The sequence below is a fragment of the Homo sapiens genome, chromosome 15 (assembly GCF_000001405.40).
Source record: "Homo sapiens chromosome 15, GRCh38.p14 Primary Assembly".
NCBI lineage: Eukaryota > Metazoa > Chordata > Mammalia > Primates > Hominidae > Homo > Homo sapiens.
This window is the reverse complement of record NC_000015.10, coordinates 69,465,690-69,476,127: the sequence shown is the minus strand read 5'-3', so window position 1 is coordinate 69,476,127 and position 10,438 is coordinate 69,465,690. Positions and strand designations below refer to the sequence as shown.

Below are 10,438 nucleotides of genomic sequence, written 5' to 3'. Positions count from 1 at the left end.
CTCCTGGACACTCTCCCTGGTGGCTTTGCCCTGGACTGAGGCAAAACAGGAAGAAGGAGAAAGCCTCTCTTTCTCCTTGTGTCCCCAGCATCCAGAAGGTGCCAAATGGAGGATGCTTGAAGAATGAAGGAACCGGTCCTGCAGGGAAAGATGGATTACCCGTGTATCTGCCGCCCCCTCCTGCCCCAAAGGAGAACTGCAAGGCTCACCTCCCTTTCACCCCACTGGAAAGCGGGTGGAGGCAGGACTTCCCAAGCCCTCTCTGAAGAAGGACCAGGTTGCCACTGGTCTTTTGTTCCTGTTTATAATTTTTTATTATTAATTGCATACATTTATGTGGTCTTATGTGATGTTTGATATATGTATACAATGTGGAATGATAAAGTCTAGCTAATTTTAACAAATCCATCATCTCGCTTACCATTTTTGTGGTAAGAACATTTGAAATGTACACTGTTAGCAATTTTGAAATATACAATACATTATTATTAAGGATAGTCACCATGCTGTGCAATAGACCTCAAAAAAGGTATTCCTTCTGTCTAACTGAAACTTTTACCCTTTGACCAACATCTCTCCCCATTTCCCCACCCAGGGCATCCTCCCACCTAAGCCTCCTGAGTAGCGTGTACCACCACACCTGACTATTTTTTGTATTTTTTTGTAGAGATAGGATTCCACCATGTTGCCCAGGCTGGTCTCATACTCCTGGCTTCAAGCGATCCTCTCCTCTTGGCCTGCCAAAGTGCCAGGATTACAGGCTTGGGCCACTGCACCCTGCCAAAAGTCTCTATGTTTACTCTTACATTCTCAGCAGGTACTTACTGTACCTGTCTCCATATAGACAAGTAACAATATTTTGAGAGCCAATGCAGTCCACAGACTATGCTGTGAGAAGCACGGGTCCAAAGAGGACAAATGACAGGCCAGAGGCCACCCAGCCAGCACGAGGAATCCATTTCCTCATGCACTACCTCAGCAGACAGCCAGGACTCCTCTGCCGTTTTGAGACTCAGGTCCCACTGCTGACTCAGGGTGCAGCTCTAGATCTGCAGCTGGAACTGAGGGGTAGCTCAGGACAAGGACAGAGCCCCAGGGACAGTGGCTCAAAGTCGGCCCCTGAGCTCAGCCCTCCCCATCTGTGAGAAACAGGCAGAGAGCAGAAAGGTGGATGCTGTCTCAGTCAAGGAGTCAAGACGGCCTCTGGAAATGCAGGCTGGGAGGGAGGGATGGGATCTGAACCTGACATGGGGCTGCGGATGGTGGCACCCTGGGTGGCTTTTTGTTTTGTTTTATTTATAGACAGGGTCTTGCTCTGTCACCCAGGCTAGAGTGCAGTGGTGCAAACACAGCTCACTGCAGTCTTGACCTCCTAGGCGCAAGCGTTCCTCCCGCCTTGATCTTCCGAATTGCTGGGACTACAGGTGTGTGCCACTGTGCCCAGTCAAGCACCCTGAGTTTGAGAGCAAAATTGTCTATGATGACTTCCCTAAATTTATATCCTTGTCTTAGGGCTCAAGACAATTCTGGGGCTCTCACGAGGAGTGGGGATTCCTGCTGATATCACATCTTCTCAGGAGGCTGAATCACAACTTCCTTTGGAGACAGTCATTAAAAAACAATCCTCCTTCATAGCTGAGCTTTCCTCTCCGTCTCACGCCTAGGTCGGTGCTTCCTGCACTGCCTCCACGGGTCTCCCCACCTCCCTCCCTCAGGCACTTTTCCACTTTTCCAGGAGCTGGAGGGTATTTCTTCAACAAAAACCCACTGTGTCACTCCCTCCTTGAGGCATGAGGATAAAGAACATTCTAGAGAGGCCAGGCATGGTGGCTCACACCTGTAATTTCAGCACTTTGGGAGACTGAGGTGGGCGGATCACTCGACCTCAGGAGTTCGAGACCAGTCTGGTCAACATGGCGAAACTCCATCTCTACCGAAACTACAAAAATTAGCCAGGCATGGGGGCATGAGCCTGTAATCTCAGCTACTTGGGAGGCTGAGGTACCAGAATGACTTGAACTCAGGAGGCAGAGGCAGAGGATGCAGTGAGCCGAGATCACGCCACTGTACTCCAGCCTGGGTGAAAGAATGAGACTTCGTCTCAAAAAAAAATAGAAAGAACGTTCTAGAAGAATGTCCCATCACTACAGTAGCCACTAGTCCATGTAGCCATTGAGCACTTGAAGTGTGGCTACTGCCACATGTTGAAATGACAATATTTTGGATATATTGAGTTAAATAAAATACATTATTAAAATTGAGCCAGGTGGGCTAGGCACAGTGGCTCAAGGCTGGGTGCGGTGGCTCACACCTGTAATCCCAGCACTTTGGGAGGCCAAGGTGGGCGGATCACAAGGTCAGGAGTTTGAGACCAGCCTGACCAACATGGTGAAACCCTGTCTCTACTAAAAAAAATACAAAAATTAGCCGGGCATGGTTGGTGGCGTATGCCTGTAATTCCAGCTACTTAGGAGGCTGAGGCAGGAGAATCGCTTGAACCCAGGAGGTGGAGGTTGCAGTGAGCCGAGGTAGCGCCACTGCACTCCAGCCTGGGTGACAGAGCGAGACTCCATCTCAAAAAAAAAAAAAAAAAATTGAGCCAGGTGCCTGAAATCCCAGCACTTTGGGAGGCCGAGGTGCGTGGATCACTTGAGGTCAGGAGTTTGAGATCAGCCTGACCAACGTGGTGAAGCCCTGTCTCTATTAAAAATACAAAAAGAACGCCGGGCGCGGTGGCTCACGCCTGTAATCCCAGCACTTTGGGAGGCCGAGGCGGGTGGATCATGAGGTCAGGAGATCGAGACCATCCTGGCTAACAAGGTGAAACCCCGTCTCTACTAAAAATACAAAAAATTAGCCGGGCGCGGTGGCGGGCGCCTGTAGTCCCAGCTACTCGGGAGGCTGAGGCAGGAGAATGGCGTGAACCCGGGAAGCGGAGCTTGCAGTGAGCCGAGATTGCGCCACTGCAGTCCGCAGTCCGGCCTGGGCGACAGAGCGAGACTCCGTCTCAAAAAAAAAAAAAAAAAAAAAAATACAAAAAGAAATTAGCTGGGCATGGTGGAGGGCGCCTGTAATCCCAGCTACTCAGGAGGCTGAGGCAGAAGAATCGCTTGAACCCAGGAGGTGGAGGTTGCAGCGGGTCGAGATTGTGCCACTGCTCTCCAGCCTGGGCGACAAGAGTGAGACTCCGTCTCAAAAAATAATAATAATAAAATAAAAGTTATTTAGCTTGTGTCCTTTTCCATTTTTGAATGTGGCTCTAGGAAGTTTATAATCGCCTAGGCGGCTCGTCCTATTTCTATTGGGCAGGGCTACTCTGAGCTTGGCTCTCACCCAGTCATCTCTTCAACTGCCACTCTCCTTACACTCAGTTCCATCCACACCACATCCCTGCAGTTCTATGGATGTTTATCTAGCTACTCCGTGTTGTTTAACAGCAGCTTTCTCTGCAGCCAAAACATCTCCTTCTCCAGGAAGCCTCCCTAACACCTTCCCACACAAGCCCACCCCTTTGCCCCACCCTTGCCTCCTGACAGCTGCTGCTCCTTACCACAGACCTCCTAAACACAGTATAACCCTTGAAGGGTCTTTATTCCACCAGATAAGAGAATTTTAAGAGTTAGGACTTGATCTAATTAATCTCTGCATCTCTGACATCGAAAGCAGTGTTTGCCTAATAGATAATTCGTGGATACATGCTGAATAATTCAATGAGTGAATGAATTAGTAGACAAATGCGTCCAGTCCATAGAAGGAAAGGAGAATTAAAACAAACTCCTGCACCTGGGAAGGAGCAGACTGTCAGGCAAATCATCAAGACTGGATTCTGGGAACAAAACCAAGCCCAACAGGGGTACTGAGAGCTGGGTGGCAGGTGGCAGGCTAGGCCCACTCACTCGCTTGTCAGCAATTCACTCCATTCTACCAACCTTGTGGCACACTCACTTCAAAACCAGGCCACAGGAAAATCACATGTTGCTACAGGGACCTCCAGGGCACCTAAACCACATCTACCAAATCCAGGACTACCAGGGACACGTAGTGATGCAGTTGGACCATTCTCAAGGCTCCCCACGTGAGAAGTGTTACGCTATCTCCTCCAGGGATTGCAAACTCAAATGGCTAGGCACGAGTGCACTTGAGGCAGAGTAAAGACTATAGAAGGGGGGCGCAGAGAGGAGTTGAAGAGGTGGCACATGCCCAACCCAAAAGGACAGCAGCAGCGGTGCTGACTGCACCATCAGACACATACCATCCAGATCCTCCAACGTTTAACAAGAAACCAGAAATCCACAACTTGGGTAGTTTCTAAATTTATTTTTTTCGAGACAGTCTTGCTCTGTCACCTGGACTGGAGTGCAGTGGCATAACCATGGCTCACTGCAGCCTCAACCTCCTGGGCTCAGGGGATCCTCCTGCCCCAGCCTCCCATGTAGCTGGGACTACAGGTGTGTACTACCACACCCGGCTAACTTTTTAATTTTTTTGTAGAGCTGGGGGTCTCACTTTGTTGCCCAGGCTGGTCTCAAACTCCTGGGCTCAAGCACGCCTCCCATCTTGGCCTCCCAAAGTGCTGAGATTACAGGCATCAGCCACCGTGCCTCACCTGCTTCCCAATTTTTTAAATTCTATACATCATGCTCCTTGGTATTCACCCAAAGGAGTTGAAAAAAAAAACTTATATCCACACAAAACCTGCACACAGGTGTTTATAGCAGCTTTATTCATAATTGCCAAAACTTAGAAGCAACCAAGATGTTCTTCAGTAAATGAATGGATAAACCATGTCACAACCAGATAGTGGAGTATTATTCAGTGCTAAAAAGAAATGAGCTACCAAGCCATGAAAAGACATGGAGGAACCTTAAATGCACATTACTAAGCGAGAGAAGCCAATCTGAAAAGGCTACAGACTGCACGATTCCAACTAGACGACATTCTGGAAACAGCAAAACTATGGAGACGGTAAAAAGATCAGTGGTTGCCAGGGTTGGGGGAGGGAGGGATGAACAGGTGGAGTGCAGGGGACTTTTAGGGGAGTGAGACTGCTCTGTGTGATGCCTCAATGATGGATGCACGTCATTCTACATTTTCCAAATCCACAGAATACACAGCACCAAGAGCAAACTCTCATGTAAACTATGGACTTTGGGAGATGATGATGTATCAATGCAGGTTAATGGACTGTGACAAATGGACAACTCCCTGCAGGTTTTTGATGGTGGGGGAGGCTGTGCATGTTGTAGGGGTAGGTGATATATGGGAAATCTCTGTACCTTCTGCTCAATTTTGCTGTAAACCTAAAACTGTTCTAAAAAATAAGGTTTATTTTAAAAAGAAATAAGTATGTAAAAACCTCTATACCTGCCGGTGGTATACCTGGGGTGGGGGTGAGGGGCAGAAGGGTCCATCCCCCAGGGTCAGGCAATGAGTCTGTAGAGAAAGTAACAATAGTGATAAAACTGAGTAGAAGCCAGTCTGGGCCGGGCACAGTGGCTTACGCCTATAATCCCAGCACTTTGGAAGGCCGAGGTGGGTGGATCACCTGAGGTCAAGAGTTCGAGACCGGCCTGGTCAACATGGTGAAACCCCCATCTCTACTAAAAATACAAAAATTACCCGGGCGTGGTGGCGGGCACCTGTAATCCCAGCTACTTGGGAGGCTGAGGCAGGAGAATTGCTTGAATCTGGGAGGCGGAGGTTGCAGTGAGCTGAGATCGCGCCACTACACTCCAGCCTGGGTGACAGAGCAAGACTGTCTCAAGAAGAAAAAAAGAAGCTAGTCTGCTTCTCATCCTGACCATGCGCTGGCAATTCTTAATGACATCAGTGATAAAGCACCCTTCCCAGCCCCAGCCCCAGCCCCAGCCCCAGCCCCAGTCCACCATTGATGCAAAGCAAGCAAAACACTTCCAGAGCCCTCCAACTGGCTGCTCCTAAGCCAGCCCGAAACCCAGGGACTAAGGAACTCAAGAAATGCCTGAGTACAGCAATCAGTGAAGAACAAGAGGCTTAAAGTTATGATCCCCTGAAGCTGACTCAGAGATGTCTAGGCAGGCCTGGGGCCCTGGAACAAAGTGTAAGATCCTTTCCTGGAGCAAGGCAGGTCTAAAGTAGGGCCAGCCAGGAGTGATAGCTCAGGGAATCTCAGAGAGCCCTTATCTATCCTGTTGCAAGCATGGGCTCCCCCAAGGCTGGGGGCAAGGCTGAGCCTACGGGGTCATCTACAGATCTTACCTGGGGCCAAGAAGGCTGCTGGAGTGGGACCAGGCAGCCTGAGGCTGTGACCTCCTACCCTGGGCAGTTCTGCTCTCCCATGGCTGTGGGGCCCACACGCTGTCCCCGCTCTGGGGAGCAAGGCATGCAGGCACCAAACATGGAGTCAGGAAAGGAGAGGACTTAGCCAAGCCTACACATCAGGCCACCCTCGCAAAGCCCATTCTTCACTGTTCTCTCAACACCACCTTTTGAAAGCTTCTCTCACGTGAGCTCCGCCACCTCCATCCCTGCTGAGTGGCCAAGTCACCATGCTCCCCACGGAAAGACCCCAGGCCTCTGTCCACTCTTGCCCAGTCTCTGACCCCTTTTGCTGAGTGTTTGATATGTTCCTGGGGTGAGGGCCATCCCATGACTTTCATATTCCACCAAGGACAGTGAGTACCAAACTGACGACCTTCATCCTACTGGACTGGGAGTCAAGAAGGCATACTCTGTTACCACTTAGCTATGTGGCCACAGCCACGTCACCTGCCCTATGAGCTTTCTCTTCCACAAATGTAAAACCAAGAGGGCTGGATGCTCTCTGAGGTCCCTTCTAAATCTAGCATGCTGAGCTCCTCTGGGTATATCTATTGCCCATCCCCTCAGGTAGGGGATGCCAGCCCAGTGCACAGTCCAGAGGAGACACCACACAGAGCAGAACACAGAGGAAATGGTATTAGCTGTGTATCTCAGGCTGTCCCCAGGGCTGGAGAGACTCAAGGAGGCTTCTGGGCAGGCTGAGCAGAGAGAACACTGCAGAGGGGAGAGATGCCACGGGTCAGCTGGGTGAAGGCATTTGCTGGAACTGAGGGAGCGCTCAAGGGAAGTGAGGAGAGTCCTCTCCCCAAGAGCCTCCCCCACAGCCACTTATCCTGTCCCTCTGCTCTGGGCCCCACCCCCACCTCTAAGTCAAGCAAACCCAACTTGTTGAAAGCAAGCAAACAGCCACGGAGCAAGACGCACACACTTCTCACCCATTCCCAGCCAAGGGGAACGGGCTATAGTTTGTTGACAGAGAGAAAAGTAATCAATTTTTCATTACCCAGTGAAGGCAACAGAATGTCTCAGGATGTCAACAGTTTCCAGGCAACAAAGACAAACCAAATACACAGGCCCCTCACCTGAAAGCTGTTTCCTTTACAAGCATCAGCTTGAATGAGAGGAGGTAATGAGAGAGGCAGAGGCAGGTGAAACCACTTGGCAGCCGCAGCGTATGAGTCAGACGCTGGGGCTCTGTGGTTGTCTGCAGTGACCCCATTAGCAGATCTCATCAGACTACGTACGACTCAAAGCAGAGCCTGCACTGGGGGAGGATTCAGGCACAAGATGTCGGAGCAAGACCGGAGAGAGTGGCTAATGTGGCTTATTCATTCATTTATTCAGCAAACATTTTTTAGGGCTCTTAGGCCCTGGGCTCAGGCCTGAGGCCCCAGTCTAGCTGAGGAGATGAGCGTGGAGACAGCGTCCCCTTACCTTAGGGATGAGAAGACTGACAACCACAGAGAGGAAGTGACTGTCCCAAGATCACAGAACCACACGGGGCACTTGGCAGCTGTGCCGCAGGTCTCCAGCATGCAGCAGGCCTATGCACATGGAAGGAGGCTCAGGAAGCGGCCGGCACAGACGTAGTCTCATCGAGAATTAACACAGGGAGCTTTCCAGAGACCTTTAGCAAAAGTGTTCAGATACTGAACCTAAAAAGTAAAAGGAGATCATTAGAATCTCTTATGGTGCCTATATTATTGTTATTTTTAACTCTCAAGGTGATTCTAACCAAAACAGAAAGGATGGCCCTTTCTGGAGCTCCTTCCCCAGCACAATGTCGGGCCTCAGAGCTCCCAGGATGTCTCCTTGTGTTTGCGTTAACGTTTCTCAGTGAGTGTCAATGGAGACTCGAGAATAAGTCAACACAGGTCCTCACAATAAATGCCAAGGCTTGTTAGCAGAGTAAACCGTGTGCTTAGCCCGTCTTAAAAGAATCTTTGCTGAGTAAACACAAGAAAGGTTTTACCTGAGAGTCAACAGAGCAAGGAGCTAATGGGCCCCGCCGGGCTGGAAGGTGACTCCACTGGCACCTGCCGCAGGGCCCAACAGGGGCCCTGGGAGGGGAGTCGGGATTGGCCATGTGGGAGCTGGAGCATCCTCAAAAGCCCTTCATGGCAACGTGAGGACACCAGGGGCCAGAGAGGTCAGGGGGCTTGTCGAAGGCCCCACAGCTTGTTGAAACAGAACTAAATCTCTCTTACCCAGCAGCCTCTGCTCGCCCAGGGAGCCCAGTCTCTTGGTGAGGAGGCAAAAACCCAGTCCACAGAAAGGAGGTCCTGGGAATCAATCCCATTTGCTCTGAAGTATGAAGAAACTGATGTCTTATCCTTCCCAGGGCAGTTTTGGTATTTAAAGAAGACTGCAGGGAAATGAAGCCCTAATGGTGGCATGTCTGAAATGACAGCAGAGGGAAAATATTTTGGGTCCGAATAGGGCTTCTAGCTTTTTCGGTCTCTGAATGTTCACACTGATTCAATATTATCCTTGGTGACAGTGGATAAAAAACAAGCCTCGTGGTGAAACCCCGTCTCTACTAAAACTACAAAAATCAGCCGGGTGTGGTGGTGCGCGCCTATAGTCCCAGCTACTCGGGAGGCTGAGGCAGGAGAATCGCTGGAACTCAGGAGGCGGAGGTTGTAGTGAGACGAGATCATGCCACTGCACTCCAGCCTGGGTGACAGAGAGACTCCATCTCCAAACAAACAAACAAACAAAAAACAAGCCTGAACTGCTTTCTGTCTTTTCACCACACCTCACAACTTCTTTGATGGCCTGATATGCATGAGGTTCTCATTTTCCCAAGTAAAGAAAAATTATGACCTGAAATCTTGGACCTATAAGCTTGTTAGTCTCAAAACCCAAGTACAACCACTAACTTAATATCTCATTTAACGTGCCACCAGAAAAAAACCTTCCAATATTCAATTTTTCATTTAATTTGTGAATTCCTTTCCTCTTTCTCAAAAGAATTTGAGTATAGATCAAAGTACAACGATGCAGTAAAGTCAATAAAAAAGCTGCCAAAATTTTTATTTTAAAAATCAGTACCAAGAAAAGGAGGAGGAGGTAAACACCTTATCCATTTGGGTTAATTTAATTACTGAGATTGGGCACCTGGTCTGGTACTGAATTTCTCAGCAGCTGAAGCAGAGAAGAGAGAGTGTGAAGTCACAGAGCTCTCGTTATCATACAGGAGGATGCAGACTAATGCCCCAGAGGACACAAACTTTCTCCTGCCCCTAAATTTTACAAGAATTTTTCACATGAGACCTTATTTAGGAGACCATAACAATATAAGAGCCTGCTCAAGTTTTCTGGCAAAAGCAGAAATGGTTTTCATGTGGCCTTTTCTTCCAACAACCTTTGAGGAAAACCAAGGGTGCACCAGATTGCACAGTGATTCAGTGACATCTTTCTTTGTTTTTAAACAAGAAATGAACTTGAGCATTTGCAGAGGCAAAGTGAAGCGTGCTAAGTAAATTACAAGGGAGGGAAGACCATATTAAAGTGCTCTTGGTTTCCTCTTGGCTGGGTCATGGGAGGGCACACAAACATGCTTTCCTTACTAAGGTGTGGACTGACTCACTCATCCTTCGGCCAAGCAGCCAGGCAGCTCTGACTGTGGAACTCACACCCTAGCCTAGAAGCACTCTAGCGTGAAGGGGTCAACCCCAGTAGCCCTTCCCAGGATTGGCCACTATGGGGCAACACTGAGCCAGCATCTGGAAAACAAAAATTCCTTTTGTCAGCAAAGCCATCCAGCATGTATGAAATTCTACCAACCCAATAATTCCATTAATTCTGAAAATCCAATATTTGACCTTCTCCATAAAGGGTGTAAAAATAAAACAGCCTTTCTAATTGTAGAAACTGTTTCTTTGATTTCCTTTTTATTTTATTTATTTTATTTTTTGAGACAGTCTCTCTCTGTCATCCAGGATAGAGTGCAATGGCGCAATCTTGGTTCATTCCAACCTCCAGCTCCAGGGTTCAAACAATTCTCATGCCTCAGCCTCCTGAGTAGCTGGGACTACAGGCACACGCCACCACACCCGGCTCATTTTTGTATTTTTAGTAGAGGTGGGTTTTTGCCATGTTGGCCAGGCTGGTCTCCAACTGCTGGCCTCAAGTG

The 10,438-nt window shown here is 49.1% G+C and overlaps 1 annotated feature.

Annotated features, from left to right (window-relative positions):
- Positions 7,586 to 7,785: an enhancer, noted in NCBI's record as "active region_9657". NCBI's record gives its function as "activates an Ori minimal core promoter by ATAC-STARR-seq in GM12878 lymphoblastoid cells {active_cell/tissue: GM12878}" and the evidence as "EXISTENCE:reporter gene assay evidence [ECO:0000049][PMID:35858748]".